The 23,021-nt window shown below is 40.3% G+C and overlaps 1 annotated feature.

The window, feature by feature from the left end:
• Window positions 12,221–12,811: an enhancer, noted in NCBI's record as "H3K27ac-H3K4me1 hESC enhancer chr16:34847980-34848570 (GRCh37/hg19 assembly coordinates)". NCBI's record gives its function as "activates a minimal SCP1, AML or CMV promoter by ChIP-STARR-seq in naive H9 embryonic stem cells {active_cell/tissue: H9 hESC(naive)}" and the evidence as "EXISTENCE:reporter gene assay evidence [ECO:0000049][PMID:30033119]".

Genomic DNA, 23,021 nt, shown 5'->3' on the forward strand with positions numbered 1-23,021 from the left:
AAATCAGCTGGGCATGGTGGCACATACCTGTAATCCCAGGTTCTCAAGTGCCTGAGGCTGAAAGATTGCTTGAGTTTTGGAGGATGAGGCTGCAGTGGGCTGGGATCAGTCATATTATTGTGCTTTAGCCTGGGTGATAGAGTGAAACTCTGTCTCCAAAAAATTTGCAGAAGCATTTTGGAAACACAAAAACAAAACTAAAAAAAAAGCTAAAGAAACCAAATTTAGCAGAGTTTAATTGAGCAAAGAATAATCTGCCAATTGAGCAGCTTGTGAATCACGAGTAGACTCAAAGAGACTCCAGCATGGCCACATGTTGGAAGATGTATGGACAGAAAAAGCAAGGTGACATACAGAAACTGGGAGTGAGGCACAGAAACAGCCAGATTGATGACAGCTCAGATTTTTAAAATTTGAATATAGTTTGAAGAGTTGACCCCATTTGATTGGCAAAAATTTAATGATTAGCACAAGAACATTTATAGACTGTTTACACGTCCAGTTAGGTTTTAGATTACCATGTACAAAAAACCCTATTGACAGAAATTAAACATAAAATGAGGTAGCTTTAGGCTAAACTTAATTTAACAGTTTCCCTATTTTGATCATCCTAAAGTATCCAAGTTTGAGATATGCCAAAATTTTAGATATTGGTATCACAGTATCACCATGATAAATGTACTTATTTCATCTCAAATTCCACTGGGAAATAGAACTTTGGATTTGGTAAAATAGGAACAAGAACTTCAGGTTGTTATTTTTTAATAAAAATTAGAGTAAAAAAGATCTTTTTATGTTAAAATCTGCTGTTTACAAAAGAAAAACAAAACCAGGTTGTTTTTAGAATCTACCTATTTTCTCAAATTCTCAGTTTGATTATGTCACATTTAGCATGAGTGATTCCATTTTTGTTTTGTTTTGTCTCATCTGTTGTACACTGTTCCTAGTGTACAAGTTCAGTCCAAAACAATAGACTCCAATAATTTTATTTAAACATTATTTTACTGCAGGTGCAGTGGCTTATGCCTATAATCCCAGCACTTTGGGAGGCCAAGGTGGGCAGATCACTTGAGTTCAGGAGTTCAAGACTAGCCTGGCCAATGTGGTGAAATCTCATCTCTAGTAAAAATAGAAAAATTAGCCTTGTGTGGTGGTGCATGCCTGTAATCCCAACTGCTGGGGAGGCTGAGGCAGGAAAATTGCTTGAACCTGGGGGGCAGAGGTTACAGTGTGCAGAGATCGTGCCACTGCACTCCAGCCAGGGTGATAGAGCAAGACTCCTTCTCAAAAAAAAAAAAAATACTTTCGGTTAAGTTCTCACTTAGATGAGAGTGTGACCAAAACTCAAATCACTACTGCCAATCACAGTTATTATTTTGGGTTTCTATACTTATCATGCCATTTATAGGTTATAGTGTTCATATAGTCTTTGAGGGTTTTTTGTTGTTTGTTTGTTTTTTGAGATGGAGTTTTGCTCTTGTTGCCCAGGCTGGAGTGCAATGGCACCATCTCAGCTCATTGTAAACTCCTCCTCGTGGGTTCAAGCTGTTTTACTGCATCAGCCTCCTGAGTAGCTGGGATTATAGGCAGGCACCACCATGCCTGAATAATTTTGTATTTTTAATAGAGATGGGGTTTCTCCATGTTGTTCAGGCTGGTCTTGAACTCCCGATCTCAGGTGATCTGCCCTTCTCGGCCTCCTAAAGTGCTGGGATTACAGGTGTGAGCAACTGAACCTGGCCTTTGTTTTGAGTTTTTGTCATTTCAGTTAAGAACAATTTGGCATTCTAGAGACTGCTGTATGTATGCACACATTTATAACTTTTGAGATAATATATTGCACCAGGAAGACCATTATTTTCACTATCAGGAAGTTAATATCAATAGAGTTTGGAGTATGCTTTTTCTTTTTCTGTTTTTTTTTTTTTTTTGACAGAGTTATGCTCCATTGCCCAGGCTGGAGTGCAGTGGTGCAATCTTGACCCACTGCAAACTCTGCCCCCTGGGTTCAAGCAATTCTCCTGCCTCAGCCTTCCCAGTAGCTGAGATTACAGGTGCACACCACCAGGCCTGGTTAATTTTTTTTTTTGTATTTTTAGTACAGACAGCATTTCACCATGTTGGCCAGGCTGGTCTCGTCGAACTCCTGACCTCAAGTGATCCACCCACCTCAGCCTCCCGAAGTGCTGGGATTACAGACGTGAGCCACCGAGCCTGGCTGTAGTATGCTTTTTAACCAGGGTCCCCATGAACAAAACCACATAAAATAAAGTAGATCAAAATAATTATCCAGATAAATGATTTACTCATTTCAATCAAGCAGTCTGTTCATTAATCTCCTATGACTAAATAGCATTAATATCTGATGTATTACAAGTGTTAGCAACTAAACAGATACTTCTGTTTATCCAATAAATAATCTAGAGAGGCCAAGCATGATGTCTCACACCTGTAATCCCAGCACTTTGGAAGGCCAAGGCGGGCAGATCACCTGAGTTCAGGAGTTCAAGACCAGCCTGGCCAACATGGTGAAACCCTGTCTCTACTAAAAATACAAAAATTAGCCAGACCAGACATTGTGGCTGGTGCCTGTAACCCCAGCTACTTGGGAGGCTGAGGCAGGAGAATTGCTTGAACCCAGGAGGCGGAGGTTGCAGTGAGTCAAGACCATGCCATTGCACTCCAGCCTGGGCAACAACAGCAGAACTTGGTCTCATAATAATAACCATTATTATTATAAATAATAACCATTATTATTATTATAAATAATAACCTAGAGAAATTTGATTTTTTCGCATAACTTTAATAAGAAAATTTAAATTCTATTTTGTATCCATACCCTTTACTGCAAAATCTGCTATAGAGACTATTATGGTAGATAAATTTCTAATTATTGTCTAATTTACTCTAAACCACGGGAAAAGAAACCTAACAAATAGTGCCCATTCAGAAAAGTCAAGGCCTCCTGACAATGCAGTTTAAAAAATTCTCTTTAGCTTATAAGGTCGTTTAAGAACAATGAACCAATGTTCTGTTTCTTATATTATGAAGCAACAAATATCCCATTAAAATTTCTCATCCAAATTGTTCTTTTATCTTTCATCTATCAAAACATAAGTTTATCCATATATAAGATTGGCTGCAAAAACCTCTAAATATACAAGTATACCCCTGGAGTGAACACAAGATAACCATTTTTATTTCTATTTTTATAGAGCCATAAGCAAGAATATAACTGTGAGCTAAGAGTGTCATAGAAACAGAGATATATTGATGTTTTATATAGTGAAAAAAAGCTGTCTACATCAAGATTACCATCTCCTTCTGAGGAGAAACTTTCCTGGTTGGCTTTGCCTTAAGTTCTCCAATGGCTATAAAATTTCAAAAGTTTGGAGGCACCCTTCTGAGTTGAGAAATTATAACCCAAGATTCAAGGTCCTGAAGTCTTTCTGCAGGGTGGATGGCAAGAGGGGAATCAATCAATGGTTTCTATTAAAAATAAAGTTTAATTGTCTTCAGTCAGTGGACCATCAAAAGCTTTTTTACCTCGTAAAAATGAGCTTTGGAATAAAGCATTAAAGGCTTGCTGCATTTATTCATATCTGATTTTGGTACCAGAAGATACATGAGGTTCTATTATTAGATTCATAGGCCTTCCAATTACAATTTTATAATGGTCAACATATTTTTTCTACTTTAAGTGGATCTGATTGTCATTAATCTGAAATTGCAACAGCAATCCAATCAATTTGGTTAGCTTTGCTTAATACTATTGTATCTGTAATAACTTAACAGTTTTACAACTTCTCTACTAAAATAAGAATTTTTATCATTGGAGTTTTTTTTCAGAAATGTCACATTAGGAAAACATATTTTCTAATATCTTTTTAGCTACTGTCATAACATCAGCCTTCTTGCTTAAGAAAGCATTTATACAACCAGAAAACGTGTTAAAATGACAATTGAGTAAAATTTCTGTATAAATGTTTAAATTACCCATCAGGTAGCATAAATGTACCTGAAGTTTTGATTGTCTTCTCAGTATTATATGTTTGGCAAACAAAGCATTGGTCATAAAATATTTTAGTAATTTAGATAATCAACACACACACACACACTTAATTTACATTTAATTTAGATTATTTTATCATTTCTGTGTTGAGTGATAAAATGCATAGCTTTTAATAATGGAAGCTATAAGAACTCAGGAAAGCCCAAGTGGCTGTCTAGGTTTTTCAGGAGCCCACACTTAACATTGGATTTATGTCCTCTTATTTTTTTGTTTTGGTTGTTATTTTGAGACAGAGTCTCACTCTGTGGCCTAGTCTTCACTCTGTGAAGTGCAGTGGCACCTTATCAGCTCACTGCCACTTCTGCCTTCTGGGTTCAAGTGATTTTCCTGCATCAGCCTCCTGAGTAGCTGAGATTACAGGCCTTTGCCATCATGCCTGGCTAATTTTTGTATTTTTAGTAGAAATGGGATTTCCCCATGTTGGCCAGGCTGGTCTAGAACTCCTGACCTCAAGTGATCTACCTGCCTCAGCCTCCCAAAGTGCTGGGATTACATGTGTGAGCCACTTGCCAGGCCAGGATTTCTGTCCTCTTACATACTAGGTTTGTTTCTGCAATTTAGGTACGTAGCACTAATAACTGATGAGTTATCATACATAGGTAATTATACTTGGACCATATGGTTTATTCAAATTTCATATCTAATGAATTTCATTACTTGCTGATTTAGCATAAATATCTGGCAAAGTATTGTTTTGGTATTCAATTAATTTTTGTCTCTCCTGGGTTAGCAGTTTTATGAGTCAGTCTCTTCATTAAATTTCCCAGAATTCTGACCCACTCTAAACAATATAATTCTAAAATGACCAGAAAACTGCATGCAACTTGTCTGGGCACTTTTCATCCTTTTCATGAATCTCCTTGAAGACACAATACTCCAGGATTTTGTGTGCTTATGAAGATTTTAGGAACTGCATTAGAATTAATCCATTAACTGTGGAAATATCTTAAAATGCTTATAAAGGCACATCGACAAAAAATTGTTTATATTTATGGCCTACAGTAATTTATCATAAAAACTGTAATTGTGGGCTGGGGGCATTGGCTCTTGCCTGTAATCCCAGCATTTTGCGAGGCCCAGGCAGGTGGATCACCTGAGGTTGGGAGGTCTAGACCAACCTGACCAACATGGTGAAACCCCGTCTTTACTAAAAATACAAAAAATAAGCCAGGCATGGTGATGGATGCCTATAACCCTAGCTACTCAGGAGGCTGAGGCAGGAGAATCACTTGAATCTGGGAGGTGGAGGTTGCAGTGAGTTGAGGTTGTGCCACAGCACTCCAGCCTGAGGGACAGAGCAAAACTCTGTGTCCAAAAAACAAAACAAAACAAAACAAAACTGTAATTATGATTAATAGCATATACTCAGATGTATTAGAATTTTATAAATCCAATATAATTTTGGATCACATACTAATTAGATATTTAACAAAATACAAGTTGAAGAAAGTAAAACATTTTTTATTTGACAATATTTCCCATGTTATTTAACATATTAAAAGATTCTGTTTATCTCTCTTGGGTGTTTCAGGGACCCTCTTTTCTTTTGTCAAAAAGACAATTTTGGAGCTAAAATTTGGCTTTGGGAAGCCTGTCAAATATGTCAAAGTTTGGGCCAGGAATGATGGTTCATGCCTGTAATCCCAGCACTTTGGGAGGCTGAGGTGGGCTGATAATCTGATGTCAGGTGTTCAAGACCAGCCTGGCCAACATGGTGAAACCCCATCTCTACTAAAAATACAAAAATTAGCCAGGCAGGGTGGCACAGGCCTGTAATCCCAGCTCCTCCAGAGGATGAGACAGGAGAATTGCTTGAACCCAGGAGGCAGAGGTTGCAGTGAGCTAAGATCGCACCACTGCACTCCAGTCTGAGTGACAGAGCAAGACTCTGTCAAAAGAAAAGAAAAGAAAAGAAAAGAAAAAAAACCCTAAGGTTTAAAACAATTTACCAAAATAGGATCAAGGTCACCACGAAATAATAGTCATTCACTTAGCCAAAGTGATAATTTAAGAAAATTATTAAAACAAAATCCTTTTTTTATAGAAAAGATTTAGTTTGCTAGTCAAAAGGCCTAAGTAAGAAAGCATGACTGATATTATATGTCCTCTCTTTCTCATTCTTTAAATTTACTCAAAAGTTGAGCAAAAATATTATACTGTGTTTATTAACACTACATACAATTTTTGTTAAAGAGAAAATCAAATGTTACTTTTTTATTAATGTATTATCAATACTAAAGCTAATTTTAATAAAATCTTATAAAGAAATCTATCAAATCTGTCATTTTTGACCACACTAGTTTTCCATAATTATTTTAAAATCTCATAATTAAATTTTATACTTCTTATATTTTAGTTTTATCTATATTCTTTTTATTCTTTCAATCTGAAACAACACTTAAGCAATTTCAAACTGGATAAAAATATTCTAAACACACATTTTATGCCTTTATAACTTTATTCATCAAAAGTATATCTTGCTTTTTTCTTTTTTTTTTTTTTGAGACAGAGTCTCACTCTATCACCCAGGCTGGGGTGAGGTGACTTGATCTCTGCTCACTGCAACCTCCGCCTCTGGGGTTCAAGCGATTCTTGTGCTTCAGCTTCCCAAGTAGCTAGTATTGCAGGAGCCCACCACCACACCCAGCTAATTTTTGTATTGTTAGTAGAGATGGGGTTTCACCATGTTGGACAGGCTTGTCTTGAACTCCTGACCTCAAGTGATACACCTGCCTCAGCATCCCAAAGTGTTGGGATGACAGGCATGAGCCACTTCACACAGCCGTTTTTTTCTTATCTACTCTTTAGGCAGACTTGTTTTTCTTACATTTAGTGTTTTTCAATTATATTTAGGAATTACATTAACTGTTAATTATCCCAACTTTTAGTGAAATGTCTAGGAAATAATTTTGAACTTTCCTGTGTATTTGTAGATAAAAAATTTATATTATTTAAAAAGTTGTTTTCCTGATTTTTTTTAATTTTCTTTTTCTTTTTCTTTTTTTTTTTTTTAAATTTTTTTTTTTTAATTATACTCTAAGTTTTAGGGTACATGTGCACATTGTGCAGGTTAGTTACATATGTATACATGTGCCATGCTGGTGTGCTGCACCCACTAACGTGTCATCTAGCATTAGGTATATCTCCCAATGCTATCCCTCCCCCCTCCCCCGACCCCACCACAGTCCCCAGAGTGTGATATTCCCCTTCCTGTGTCCATGTGATCTCATTGTTCAATTGCCACCTATGAGTGAGAATATGCGGTGTTTGGTTTTTTGTTCTTACGATAGTTTACTGAGAATGATGGTTTCCAATTTCATCCATGTCCCTACAAAGGACATGAACTCATCATTTTTTATGGCTGCATAGTATTCCATGGTGTATATGTGCCACATTTTCTTAATCCAGTCTATCATTGTGGGACATTTGGGTTGGTTCCAAGTCTTTGCTATTGTGAATAGTGCCGCAATAAACATACGTGTGCATGTGTCTTTATAGCAGCATGATTTATAGTCATTTGGGTATATACCCAGTAATGGGATGGCTGGGTCAAATGGTATTTCTAGTTCTAGATCCCTGAGGAATCGCCACACTGACTTCCACAATGGTTGAACTAGTTTACAGTCCCACCAACAGTGTAAAAGTGTTCCTATTTTTCCACATCCTCTCCAGCACCTGTTGTTTCCTGACTTTTTAATGATTGCCATTCTAACTGGTGTGAGATGATATCTCATAGTGGTTTTGATTTGCATTTCTCTGATGGCCAGTGATGATGAGCATTTCTTCATGTGTTTTTTGGCTGCATAAATGTCTTCTTTTGAGAAGTGTCTGTTCATGTCATTCGCCCACTTTTTGATGGGGTTGTTTGTTTTTTTCTTGTAAATTTGTTTGAGTTCATTGTAGATTCTGGATATTAGCCCTTTGTCAGATGAGTAGGTTGCAAAAATTTTCTCCCATGTTGTAGGTTGCCTGTTCACTCTGATGGTAGTTTCTTTTGCTGTGCAGAAGCTCTTTAGTTTAATTAGATCCCATTTGTCAATTTTGGCTTTCGTTGCCATTGCTTTTGGTGTTTTGGACATGAAGTCCTTGCCCACGCCTATGTCCTGAATGGTAATGCCTAGGTTTTCTTCTAGGGTTTTTATGGTTTTAGGTCTAACGTTTAAATCTTTAATCCATCTTGAATTGATTTTTGTATAAGGTGTAAGGAAGGGATCCAGTTTCAGCTTTCTACATATGGCTAGCCAGTTTTCCCAGCACCATTTATTAAATAGGGAATCCTTTCCCCATTGCTTGTTTTTCTCAGGTTTGTCAAAGATCAGATAGTTGTAGATAGGCGGCCTTATTTCTGAGGGCTCTGTTCTGTTCCATTGATCTATATCTCTGTTTTGGTACCAGTACCATGCTGTTTTGGTTACTGTAGCCTTGTAGTATAGTTTGAAGTCAGGTAGTGTGATGCCTCCAGCTTTGTTCTTTTGGCTTAGGATTGACTTGGCGATGCGGGCTCTTTTTTGGTTCCATATGAACTTTAAAGTAGTTTTTTCCAATTCTGTGAAGAAAGTCATTGGTAGCTTGATGGGGATGGCATTGAATCTGTAAATTACCTTGGGCAGTATGGCCATTTTCACGATATTGATTCTTCCTACCCATGAGCATGGAATGTTCTTCCATTTGTTTGTGTCCTCTTTTATTTCCTTGAGCAGTGGTTTGTAGTTCTCCTTGAAGAGGTCCTTCACATCCCTTGTAAGTTGGATTCCTAGGTATTTGATTCTCTTTGAAGCAATTGTGAATGGGAGTTCACTCATGATTTGGCTCTCTGTTTGTCTGTTGTTGGTGTATAAGAATGCTTGTGATTTTTGTACATTGATTTTGTATCCTGAGACTTTGCTGAAGTTGCTTATCAGCTTAAGGAGATTTTGGGCTGAGACGATGGGGTTTTCTAGATAAACAATCATGTCGTCTGCAAACAGGGACAATTTGACTTCCTCTTTTCCTAATTGAATACCCTTTATTTCCTTCTCCTGCCTGATTGCCCTGGCCAGAACTTCCAACACTATGTTGAATAAGAGCGGTGAGAGAGGGCATCCCTGTCTTGTGCCAGTCTTCAAAGGGAATGCTTCCAGTTTTTGCCCATTCAGTATGATATTGGCTGTGGGTTTGTCATAGATAGCTCTTATTATTTTGAAATACGTCCCATCAATACCTAATTTATTGAGAGTTTTTAGCATGAAGGGTTGTTGAATTTTGTCAAAGGCTTTTTCTGCATCTATTGAGATAATCATGTGGTTTTTGTCTTTGGCTCTGTTTATATGCTGGATTACATTTATTGATTTGCGTATATTGAACCAGCCTTGCATCCCAGGGATGAAGCCCACTTGATCATGGTGGATAAGCTTTTTGATGTGCTGCTGGATTCGGTTTGCCAGTATTTTATTGAGGATTTTTGCATCAATGTTCATCAAGGATATTGGTCTAAAATTCTCTTTTTTGGTTGTGTCTCTGCCCGGCTTTGGTATCAGAATGATGCTGGCCTCATAAAATGAGTTAGGGAGGATTCCCTCTTTTTCTATTGATTGGAATAGTTTCAGAAGGAATGGTACCAGTTCCTCCTTGTACCTCTGGTAGAATTCGGCTGTGAATCCATGTGGTCCTGGACTCTTTTTGGTTGGTAAACTATTGATTATTGCCACAATTTCAGAGCCTGTTATTGGTCTATTCAGAGATTCAACTTCTTCCTGGTTTAGTCTTGGGAGAGTGTATGTGTCGAGGAATGTATCCATTTCTTCTAGATTTTCTAGTTTATTTGCGTAGAGGTGTTTGTAGTATTCTCTTATGGTAGTTTGTATTTCTGTGGGATCGGTGGTGATATCCCCTTTATCATTTTTTATTGTGTCTATTTGATTCTTCTCTCTTTTTTTCTTTATTAGTCTTGCTAGCGGTCTATCAATTTTGCTGATCCTTTCAAAAAACCAGCTCCTGGATTCATTGATTTTTTGAAGGGTTTTTTGTGTCTCTATTTCCTTCAGTTCTGCTCTGATTTTAGTTATTTCTTGCCTTCTGCTAGCTTTTGAATGTGTTTGCTCTTGCTTTTCTAGTTCTTTTAATTGTGATGTTAGGGTGTCAATTTTGGATCTTTCCTGCTTTCTCTTGTAGGCATTTAGTGCTACAAATTTCCCTCTACACACTGCTTTGAATGCGTCCCAGAGATTCTGGTATGTGGTGTCTTTGTTCTCGTTGGTTTCAAAGAACATCTTTATTTCTGCCTTCATTTCGTTATGTACCCAGTAGTCATTCAGGAGCAGGTTGTTCAGTTTCCATGTAGTTGAGCGGCTTTGAGTGAGATTCTTAATCCTGAGTTCTAGTTTGATTGCACTGTGGTCTGAGAGATAGTTTGTTATAATTTCTGTTCTTTTACATTTGCTGAGGAGAGCTTTACTTCCAAGTATGTGGTCAATTTTGGAATAGGTGTGGTGTGGTGCTGAAAAAAATGTATATTCTGTTGATTTGGGGTGGAGAGTTCTGTAGATGTCTATTAGGTCTGCTTGGTGCAGAGCTGAGTTCAATTCCTGGGTATCCTTGTTGACTTTCTGTCTCGTTGATCTGTCTAATGTTGACAGTGGGGTGTTAAAGTCTCCCATTATTAATGTGTGGGAGTCTAAGTCTCTTTGTAGGTCACTCAGGACTTGCTTTATGAATCTGGGTGCTCCTGTATTGGGTGCATAAATATTTAGGATAGTTAGCTCCTCTTGTTGAATTGATCCCTTTACCATTATGTAATGGCCTTCTTTGTCTCTTTTGATCTTTGTTGGTTTAAAGTCTGTTTTATCAGAGACTAGGATTGCAACCCCTGCCTTTTTTTGTTTTCCATTGGCTTGGTAGATCTTCCTCCATCCTTTTATTTTGAGCCTATGTGTGTCTCTGCACGTGAGATGGGTTTCCTGAATACAGCACACTGATGGGTCTTGACTCTTTATCCAACTTGCCAGTCTGTGTCTTTTAATTGAAGAATTTAGTCCATTTATATTTAAAGTTAATATTGTTATGTGTGAATTTGATCCTGTCATTATGATGTTAGCTGGTGATTTTGCTCATTAGTTGATGCAGTTTCTTCCTAGTCTCGATGATCTTTACATTTTGGCATGATTTTGCAGCAGCTGGTACCGGTTGTTCCTTTCCAAGTTTAGCGCTTCCTTCAGGAGCTCTTTTAGGGCAGGCCTGGTGGTGACAAAATCTCTCAGCATTTGCTTGTCTATAAAGTATTTTATTTCTCCTTCACTTATGAAGCTTAGTTTGGCTGGATATGAAATTCTGGGTTGAAAATTCTTTTCTTTAAGAATGTTGAATATTGGCCCCCACTCTCTTCTGGCTTGTAGGGTTTCTGCCGAGAGATCCGCTGTTAGTCTGATGGGCTTTCCTTTGAGGGTAACCCGACCTTTCTCTCTGGCTGCCCTTAACATTTTTTCCTTCATTTCAACTTTGGTGAATCTGACAATTATGTGTCTTGGAGTTGCTCTTCTCGAGGAGTATCTTTGTGGCGTTCTCTGTATTTCCTGAATCTGAACGTTGGCCTGCCTTGCTAGATTGGGGAAGTTCTCCTGGATAATATCCTGCAGAGTGTTTTCCAACTTGGTTCCATTCTCCACATCACTTTCAGGTACACCAATCAGACGTAGATTTGGTCTTTTCACATAGTCCCATATTTCTTGGAGGCTTTGCGCATTTCTTTTTATTCTTTTTTCTCTAAACTTCCCTTCTCGCTTCATTTCATTCATTTGATCTTCCATCACTGATACCCTTTCTTCCAGTTGATCGCATCGGCTCCTGAGGCTTCTGCATTCTTCACGTAGTTCTCGAGCCTGGGTTTTCAGCTCCATCAGCTCCTTTAAGCACTTCTCTGTATTGGTTATTCTAGTTATACATTCTTCTAAATTTTTTTCAAAGTTTTCAACTTCTTTGCCTTTGGTTTGAATGTCCTCCCGTAGCTCAGAGTAATTTGATCATCTGAAGCCTTCTTCTCTCAGCTCGTCAAAATCATTCTCCATCCAGCTTTGTTCTGTTGCTGGTGAGGAACTGCGTTCCTTTGGAGGAGGAGAGGTTCTCTGCATTTTAGAGTTTCCAGTTTTTCTGTTCTGTTTTTTCCCCATCTTTGTGGTTTTATCTACTTTTGGTCTTTGATGATGGTGATGTACAGATGGGTTTTCGGTGTAGATGTCCTTTCTGGTTGTTAGTTTTCCTTCTAACAGACAGGACCCTCAGCTGCAGGTCTGTTGGAATACCCTGCCGTGTGAGGTGTCAGTGTGCCCCTGCTGGGGGGTGCCTCCCAGTTAGGCTGCTCGGGGGTCAGGGGTCAGGGACCCACTTGAGGAGGCAGTCTGCCCGTTCTCAGATCTCCAGCTGCGTGCTGGGAGAACCACTGCTCTCTTCAAAGCTGTCAGACAGGGACACTTAAGTCTGCAGAGGTTACTGTTGTCTTTTTGTTTGTCTGTGCCCTGCCCCCAGAGGTGGAGCCTACAGAGGCAGGCAGGCCTCCTTGAGCTGTGGTGGGCTCCACCCAGTTCGAGCTTCCCTGCTGCTTTGTTTACCTAAGGAAGCCTGGGCAATGGCGGGCGCCCCTCCCCCAGCCTCGTTGCCGCCTTGCAGTTTGATCTCAGACTGCTGTGCTAGCAATCAGTGAGATTCCGTGGGCGTAGGACCCTCTGAGCCAGGTGTGGGATATAGTCTCGTGGTGTGCCGTTTCTTAAGCCGGTCTGAAAAGCGCAATATTCGGGTGGGAGTGACCCGATTTTCCAGGTGCGTCCGTCACCCCTTTCTTTGACTCAGAAAGGGAACTCCCTGACCCCTTGCGCTTCCCAGGTGAGGCAATGCCTCGCCCTGCTTTGGCTCGCACACGGTGCGCACACACACTGGCCTGCGCCCACTGTCTGGCACTCCCTAGTGAGATGAACCCCGTACCTCAGATGGAAATGCAGAAATCAGCCATCTTCTGCGTCGCTCACGCTGGGAGCTGTAGACCGGAGCTGTTCCTATTTGGCCATCTTGGCTCCACATTCCTCTTTTTCTTTTTAAACTGAGTTTTGCTCTTGTTGCCCAGGCTGGAGTGCAATGGGACTATTTCAGCTCACTGCAACCTCTGCCTCCTGGGTTCAAGCAATTCTCCTGCCTCAGCCTCCCAAGTAGCTGGTGTAGCAGGATGAGCTGCAGAGAAAACTCCTCAGACACTGGGTGAAAGAAGGAAGTAGGTTTATTTGGCCAGGAGCTTCAGCAGACTTCCGTCTTAAAAGCCAAGCTCCCCAAGTGAGCAACTCCTGTCCCTTTTAAGGGCTTACAACTTTAAGGGGGTCTGCATGAGAGGGTCGTGATTGATTGAGCAAGCAGGGGGTATGTGACTGGGGGCTGCATGCACCAGTAATTAGAACAGAACAGGAAAGAGATTTTCACAATGCTTTTCCATATAATGTCTGGAATCTATAGATAACACAAGCAGTTAGGTCAGGGGTTGATTTTTAACTAACAGGCCCAGGGCATGCGCTGGGCTATCTGCCTGTGGATTTCATTTCTGCCTTTTAGTTTTCACTTCTTCTATCTTTGGAGGCAAAAATTGGGCATAAGACAATATGAGGGGTGGCATCCTTCCTTATTCCCCCCTTTGAGAACTTCACTCATTAGTGGGAGTTCTCACTTTTATCCTCACTACCCATGTCTTCTTGTAGGACAAATTGATAATGATTTATATAGTACACTCGTGCTGAAGCATTTTGGTGAACTAAGGTAGTGATGAAGCTTTTTTTATTTGAAGGAGTACAGGTAGCAAACAAGGGAGTAGTAAGCAGGTGCCTATTACTATTATAATTTCTATTATAAGAGTTTTATATCTTCCTAGTTCTGGGATCCATTTTCTAAACATGACCTGAGGATTAAATCCATGGCACACTTGCATGGGCACATATGCCACTTTTGTCATATCTTTAACTATGTCTTCAACTACTTGCCCTTGATTATCTATGTGAAGACAGTAACTGGTAAGATTAAATTTCCCACAGACCCCCCCCCCCCCCGCCAAGCTGCTAGCAAGTAGTTGAGAGCCAGTCTATTTTGATAGATAGCATTTCTCATCTGAGTTTCTTGCTGGGCCAGAATAGTCAAGGCTCTGCCAGTTTTATTAGTGATTATTTCTAAGGTTTGGTTGAGCATGTAAATAGGGGTCTGATATCCCCATGAGCCATCTTGTACCCAAGTAGCAGGCCCATAATATTGTATGATTTTCTTAGAGGGCCATTTATCATCTTTCCAATTACCTATAGCTATGCTTCTCTTTTAGTGGGAAGCATAGACAGGGAAGCCCAGGAATTCACTTGATTTTATGGGTAGTAGGAAGAAGGATGGTTTAACAGTGCCAATAACACAACTACCTGCCCACTGGTCAGGTAATTTGGCATAACCTTTATGCCCGCACATCCAGTATAATCCAGTGGGGGTTTTCCAGTCCTGGTGGGACTCCAGGTGGGTCCACATGGTTTGCAAATTTAGGAATTTACTAAATGGATTCTTTTTAGTATGGTTTAGACCCAATGAGATGACTATTTTTAATTTTATTTTAAAGACTGTGACCATAGGGGGCTCAGATGGGTTATAATACACATCAGGCTGGTCACTTCCTGGGCTACATAACTCATACTGGGTGGTATTATACAAACAAGTCCCTTTTAGAGTTCCAGCACATTTATAATAACTATAGAACAAAAAGACGATTTTAAATTGTTGCCCTACCTTAGTGACCTGATGTATACACTGGGAACAGTCCTTAGTTTGAGGAAGTCAGTTGAAGTCCCTACTGTATAAGTCCAAAATTTAAGGAAAATAAGTCCCATGGTGAGTTTCCTCATGCTTCAGCCATGCATGGACCAGTTAGCTTCCGGGTGTGACTGGAGCAGGGCTTGTCATCTTCTTCTGAGTCACTTTGCAGGGATTGTCCAGGCTTGGTCTCACCTCCCAGGTCTCAGGTGCTGCAGGTTTTATGCAGCTGTGATGGATCCAGGTTGGGATTCCTCTTACTTTTACGTCTGTGGGAGTGGTCAAGATGATGATCTGGGGTTTTTTTCATTGTGGCGGCAAGGGGGCTACACTCTAATCCTTGATCTACACCCAATCACCTTTGCTGTTTTCTGTACCAAGTCAGCCACAAATGCTGGCTCATTGTCCAAGCTGATTTGTAAGGGCAGTCTAAACCTAGGGATGAGATCTCCACATTTGTGCATCTCAGTGAAGTCTACTTGGAGTTCTTCAAAGGGGGCTGCTCCATAAGCCTGTATGCCAGGTGGAACAGTTAGACCTTGCCTAGCATTGTGCTGCCAGGAGGTGACACACTGCTATGCCAGTGTTTTGGTAAGGGCTGAGAGATGTGAGATGTAGAAGTACTGGCTTAACAACTTTTTAAGTGACTCTTGGCCTAGGTGGGTGGTCTCATGCACAGCCAGTATGACCACAGCTCCTAGCAGTTGTGGCATGGCTATTCTTCTGTCTGATAACCAGATCCATCCTTCTATTACCTGCCCTCCCTCTGGTTGATGAAATGCCAGGATGAAAGGGATAGCCAATTGGACCAAAGCACAAGTGCCACTCTAGTTATTTGGCAGAGTGTCCAGTAAAGGTCCATCACAATACCACCACACATCCGCTCAGGGATGAACAAGGGATGACCTATTGGTAAGCCCTTAAAAATTCTTAAGCTCACTGCATCCCTTCAGGTCTCCAAGGAACACTAAGTTTCCTCCCTGTCGTGAGAGACACGAAGTTAACTTAGTGTTTGGAGATGGAAGCTAGATGGCCCTCAGGGACTGACCCACAGGGTGTTGAACTTCAGCATATATCAGAGAGAGAACTTGGCACAACTTATTACTCTAGGCTGTAGAATCCTGGAAAAGCACTACCATGCAGTCCACACCTGGTCGACTGGAGGACCTCCTTAGTGGAAAGGGGACAATCTGGGCCTCTGGCCTGCCATGTGCACAAGCACAACAATTGCTTTTGTTTAACGAGTGGACAGAATATTTGATCCATTCCAACAAGGCATTTGCATCTTGGTATCCTGTCTTAATTGTCAAGATTTGTTTTAAGTCTTTAACTTCTATGATCCTCTAGTAAAATGAATGTATGGTTTTAGGAAATAACAAAAACCAGTTGGGGCAGTCCATCCTTGCTCTTTAGTGGTTCACAGAATGTTGGGCCAACTACAGCATAAAAGCTCTACATCTGGGCGCAAGACTCCTAGTTGACACTGGGGTCTTTATCAAATTCTCCTGAGATTAAATGGTCCTAATTTATTAATGACTAGTCTGAGGAGAGTCAGGAGGGACAGAGGTACTTTTCTGAAGTAGAGAGCTGTCTTTGACTTGGCAAGCCCTCACAGGGTATAACAAGGGAAGCATTAAATTCAATAGTTTGAGGTGGAATTGACTGGGTTATGTTAATAACTAGATGGTCAGCAATAGAGCAAGAAAAGAAGGAACACTAATAGAATAGATGAATTAAATTTTTCTTAGCTTTAGTTTGGTAGAATTTTCCCTTGGGACTACAGCCCATGACTCTAGAGGGGTGGCGCTTTCTTGACTTGGGTGTGATGAATCCAATCCCTTTTTTGCTGTATGAACAGCAGTCTCAGTGGTTAGCAGCACAAGGTAGGGTCCTTCCCAGGCTGGCTTGAGTCTTCCTTCTTTCCACCTTTGATGAGAATGTGATCTTCCAGCTGGTGGTGGTTTACAGGAAATTCTAGGGGTGGTACATGTGCTAAAAGACTTTTAGTTTTGAGGGAAAGGAAAGTGGAAGATAAACCAAGTATATAATTTTTAAGAAATTGATCTTCTTTTTTTAAATGTGGGGACATCAGCAGTGGACTTTATAGTCCTTGGTGTCTTCTTACTGAGAAATTTCCTTTAGCATCTATTTTTGTTAGTTTTTAGACCAAAGAAAGCCAAACACCATTTTATATTTGACTATGCTTTCTATATAATTTTTATATGAGATAAGCTATATTTCACCTTCATATTAGTGTGTTATTAATGTTAAAATTAGTTTTAATAAAAATTTGTAGATATATTTATTCAATTTTTAATGTCTGACCGTAAGGTAAGATTTTTATAGATTCTTTTTAACCTTTTATAATTTTTGTTAAAGAGCAGGTTAGTGCTTCAAGAAAACCCCATTGTGTTTTTACTTTAATGTCCAGTTCACAGAAAAACTAGATGACATCCCTTTAACTTTAGCTAATATGTTTAGACACACAATTTTATTTACAATTAATGTTTTAAAACTTGCTTAAACCTTTAAAACAACAAAAAAAATTTAACCTTTTAATGTAGGTAAAAATTCACATTCTTATGCCTCCTTATAATCCTTTTACCAGAGGTATATTTTACTTTCTTTACACACCTTGCACATAAACTGTTTTTTCAATAGTTTTACATTCAGGAAGCCTAATTACTTTTAAATTATACAGCATTTCTTGCATAATTTTTTTTATAACTTTTTTTTTCTTTCATGCTTTCACAGACAATTCTTTGACATGTCTCAACTTTCTGGCTTATTACAAACATTTCTTTCTTTAAACAACCAGTTAATTTATTTCAGGACAAGAATTCAAAGATGGCAACCATTCTTTTCCAAAGTGAATTTTCTTTATGTCTGTGGACTAGACTGTCTAAGGCCACAAGATTAGAAGTTACTATAATACATGTTACACTGTTAACTTTTAGCAAACTTTACTTTTGTTGAAAACCTTGTAAGTTTGGGATTTCAATTATCCTTTGCTATTAATATGAACTTGTTTAGTCCAAATTAACTTAGAATTGGTATAGATGGCCTTTTTTTTCCCTATAATTACCCAGGAGGAACCATCTATTGTCCTGTCCTGAAGGAAATTCCTCCTAGGTCTGGTCATACCTTTGTATGGTAATTAAGATTTAGAGCCCCTGTTAGGAAACCTGCTGGGTTAAGGGAATTTTCAGTGGTTAATGTTAAATCATCTTTTTTTTTTTTTTTTTTTTTTTTTTTTTTTTTACTTAGTGTACTTCTGAACTGGTGGGGTGTACTCACAATGAGGTTTCCTCTAAAAGTTATTTTTCTACCTTCTTCTGTTAGCAAAGCAATTGCCGCTACATATTGAATGCATATGGGCCATCTGCAGGTTACTGGGTTAAGGATTTTTTAAAGGAAGGCTACGGGTTATCAGTGGCCTCAGTGCTTTTGGGATACACTTTTGTTTACACTGAAAACAAGGTGGTATTGGAGTGGCATAGGGTTACAGAGAATACCTTCACTTATTAACTATAAGTTTTTAAATTTACCTTGGCTTTTAAAGGAATAGAGTACACTGTTTTTTTCTTAACTACTTGTATATCTCTCTCTTTCTCTCTTTTTCTCTTTGACTTTCTGTCTGGCTCTCTCTGTCTTTGCTTTTGCCTCTGTCTCTTCCTCTCTCTGTCTCTCTCTTTCTCTCTCTCTCTCCCTCTCCTTGACTCCTTCTTTGTTTCTCTGTCTCTTCCTCTCTCTCTCTGCTGGTCTTTCCTTGCCTCTGGCAGCTACTTATGCTGCTGTTCTCTCAACCACTGTGGTGGAGCAGGGTGGGGGGGTGTCTAAAACCAGCTGAAACCAAGTGTCTATGTACTGAACTGGTCTGGGTGCTGTGGTTTACAGGTTACCTTGTGCCATACCTTTGAAACAAGAGACCTGTCCAGGCTTCCTTCTGATGGCCAACCCATCTCTAATGCTGGCCAGTCTATTTCACACAATGTTCTAAGTTTTCCTGGTGTCATAGTAACACTGTAATCTCCCTTAAATCCTTTCTTGAAATTTTTCAACACAGTTCCTAGTGGAGTGGGCTTACTTTGTTCCTGATCCATGTTTCCTCAAGAAAAAACACCACGCTCACACCACACACACACAACAAAACAGAGAATGGGTAAAAAGGGCACACACACACTTTTACAGTTTACACCAAACCAGAATCAAAACCAAAATCAGAGTATCAAGAAATCCAAGCCAGGTCAAAACTAAAACCAAAGTATCAAGCAATCGAAGTCAAGTCAAAAAACAAAAAACAAAGTGCCAATACAGGCACACCATGGGTGATCAGGCCATGCTTCCACTCAAATGGAGTGGGCAAGTTCCAAAGACCAGTCTTACCAAGTTTCAGATGTCTGGACTCCAAGTGCCAGTTCCTTCCCAGTGTTCAGCCACTGTGTTGATCCTCCACTGGGGCCTGCCACACACTGCTCTGGCCAGGTGTCCCACCAGGGCAACTGCCTACCTGGGAGCACTTTTTGGATCCGCATCGCTAAGGCTGGTTGGAATCCCCCACAGGGATGTTCCACAGGGCAGGACAAAGATGACTAAGGGGCTGCCTCCACCATCCACCAGCCACCTCCTTTCCCAGTCAGGGAACCAGGAGTTGTAGCAGGATGAGCTGCAGACAAAACTCCTCAGACACCAGGTTAAAGAAGGAAGGAGCTTTATTCGGCTGGGAGCTTCAGCAGACTTGTGTCTCAAAAGCCAAGCTCCCCAAGTAAGCAATTCCTGTCCCTTTTAAGGGCTTACAACTCTAATGGGGTCTATGTGAGAGGGTTGTCATGACCAATTGAGCAAGCAGGTGGTACATGACTGGGGGCTGCATGCACCAATAATTAGAATGGAACAGAACAGGACAGGGATTTTCACAATGTTTTTCCATACAATGTCTGGAATCTACAGATAACACAAGAAGTCAGGTCAGGGGTTTATTTTTAACTAACGGGCCCAGGGCATGTGCCAGGCTATATGCCTGTGGATTTCATTTCTGCCTTTTAGTTTTTACTTCTTCTTTCTTTGGAGGCAGAAATTGGGCATAAGACAATATGAGGGGTAGTCTCCTCCCTTATTGGGATTACAGGCATGCACCACCACACCCAGCTAATTTTGTATTTTTAGTAGAGATGGGGTTTCTCCCTGTTGGTCAGGCTGGTCTTGAACTCTCAGCCTCAGGTGATCTACCTGCCTCGGCCTCCCAAAGTACTGGGATTACAAGCGTGAGCCACTGTGCCAAGCTAAATTTTTTTTTTTATTAAATTTTCTACTAACTACCTTATCAAATTATATTTAGCTTTTTAAATATTATATAAAAATATGATGCTAGCCAGGTACAGTGGCTCATGTCTCATGTCCTCTTTCTCAATCCCATATTTTCGGGAGGCCAAGGCAGATAGGTTGCTTAAGCTTAAGAGTACAAAAACAGCCTTGGCAACATGGTGAGACCCTATCTATATAAATAATTCACAAATTAGCTAGGTGTGGGTGTGTGTGCCTTTAGTCTCAGCTACTCAGGAGGCTGAACTGAAAGGATCATCTGAGTCCAGGAGGTAGAGGCTGCAGTGAGCTGTAATCATGCCACTGTACTTCAACCTTGGTGACAGAGAGACCCTGTCTCAAGAAAAAGATGCCAAAGCATATAAACTTAAACTTATGTTTAATAATTAATGTTTTAGGCTGAGCATGGTGGCTCATGCCTGTAATCCCAGCACTTTGGGAGGCCGAGGCAGATGGATCACCTGAGGTCAGGAGTTCAAGACCAGCTTGGCCAACCTAGTGAAACCCTGTGTCTACTAAAAATACAAAAAGTAGCTGGGCATGGTGGCGGGTGCCTGTAGTCCCAGCTACTTGGGAAGCTGAGGCAGGAGAATCACTGGAGCCCAGGAGGTGGAGGTTGCAGTGAGCCAAGATCATGCCATTGCACTCCAGCCTAGGCTACAGAGTGAGACTCCATCTCAAAAAAAGAAAAAAGAAATTAACGTTTTAGTATTTTAATATACAAATGACTCATAGATTTTATGACTATTATTAAATTAACATAGTATCACTTTAAGATTCTAAATTATTGAAAAAGATTTTGAAACTATGACATGGGTACTCTTCCTAATATCTTTCCCAGTCATCCTGAGTCTCTAGTAGGCATATGACACATAAAATGGCTCTGAAGGTCAGGACCTGCAAGACTCCTACATTTACATACTAGGTGTAGAGCTCAGGATAAAAGCTGGATCCAACCTCTTAAAGAATATCCAGAAGGCAAAGCTTGGAAAGAGAAGAAGAGGCCATATTAGGCTTCATTGTCTTGTAGCTGCTGGTCTAGGCACTGAGAACTTGTTACCAGGTCTCAACATGGCCACCTATCCTCACACCTAAATCCAGAGGTTCAAAACCAAAAATTTAAGTTCACAGCCAAATCAAGCAAGTATCAAATTACATTTAACTGATTATTCTGAAGTCATTTCTACTTTTACCAACAATCTAAAAGCTGGCTTTAGCCGGGCGCAGTGGCTCAAGCCTGTAATCTCTTTAGCCCGTAGGTGCACTACCACATATAGGCATATGGTTTGAATGTATATAAGCACTGGAAAAGAAGCCTGTAACGTCGAGTTGGTCCAGTGAGTTATTCTGACTGTCTCTCTGTAGCCAGTTGAAGAAATAAACTCTCTTCTTTCTCAGTTTTTATGCATCTCATTATTGGACCATAAGAACAAGCAGCCAGACCCCTGTTTAGTCTGGGAAACCTTCCAGGGCCTAATAGTTGTACATATAAATGTAGTCTTAGCTGAAAGGTAAACTACTCAGTTTTTAAAAAATTAAAAATTTCAGCTGGATGCGGTGGCTCACATCTGTAATCCCAGCACTTTGGGAGGCCAAGGCAGGCGGATCACGAGGTCAGGAGATTGAGACCATCCTGGCTAATGTGAAACCCTGTCTCTACTAAAAATACAAAAAAATTAGCCAGGCGTGGTGGCTGGCGCCTGTATTCCCAGCTACTCAGGAGGCTGAGGCAGGAGAATGGCATGAACCCGGGGGGCAGAGCTTGCAATGAGAGGAGATTGTGCCACTGCACTCCAGCCTATGTGACAGAATGAGACTCAATCTTAAAAAAAAAAAGAAAAAAAATTAAAAATTTCATTTTATCTTGAATTGTAATTGCCCACGGGGTTCTTTCTGCACACTTCATAAAGAAAACTGCATTGTACTAAAGAAAGTGCTCAATAGACATGAGGCAGTCACTCTACATGCAAAATAGAGTTTGTACTTAAATCACTTCATCCAGATGGGGACAGTGGCTCGCGCCTATAATCCTAGCACTTTGGGAGGCCAAGACAGGCGGATCACTTGAGGTCAGGAGTTTGAGACCAGCCTGGCCAACATGGCAAAACCCTGTCTCTACTAAAAATACAAAAATTAGCCAGGCGTGGTGGTGGGTGCCTGTAACCCCAGCTACTCTGGAGGCTGAGGCAGGAGAATCACTTGAACCTGAGAGGCAGAGGTTGCAGTGAGCTGAGATTGCACAGTTGTACTTCAGCCTGGGCAACAAGAGTGAAACTCCGTCTCAGAAAACAAACAAAAACAACAAAAAATAATCTTATCCAAAGCTTATCGGTGAGGGTCTTTCTTTCTTTCTTTCTTTTTCTTTCTTTCTTTTCTTTCTTTCTTTTCTTTATCCTTCCTTCCTTCCTTCCTTCCTTCCTTCCTTCCTTCCTTCCTTCCTTCCTTCCTTCTTTCTTTTCTCTTTCTTTCTTTCTTTCTTTCTTTCTTTCTTTCTTTCTTTCTTTTCTTTCTTTCTGGTTTCATTCTTGTCACCCAGGCTAGAGTGCAACAGGGTGATCTCCACTCACTACAACCTCAGTCTCCCGAGTTCAAACAATTCTCCTGCCTCAGCCTCTCGAGTAGCTGAGATTACAGACACCCAACACCACACCCAGCTAAGTTTTGTATTTTTAGTACAGATGGGATTTCCTTGTGTTGAACAGATTGGTCTCAAACTCCTGACCTCAGGTGATCCACCCACCTCGGCCTCCCAGCTGGAATTACAGGCATGAGCCACTGCACCCAGCTGTGAGGGGTCTTTCAAAGGCAGTTTCAATAAGGAGTGAGTTGGTCAGCGAAC

Source organism: Homo sapiens, chromosome 16, assembly GCF_000001405.40.
Source record: "Homo sapiens chromosome 16, GRCh38.p14 Primary Assembly".
Lineage (NCBI taxonomy): Eukaryota > Metazoa > Chordata > Mammalia > Primates > Hominidae > Homo > Homo sapiens.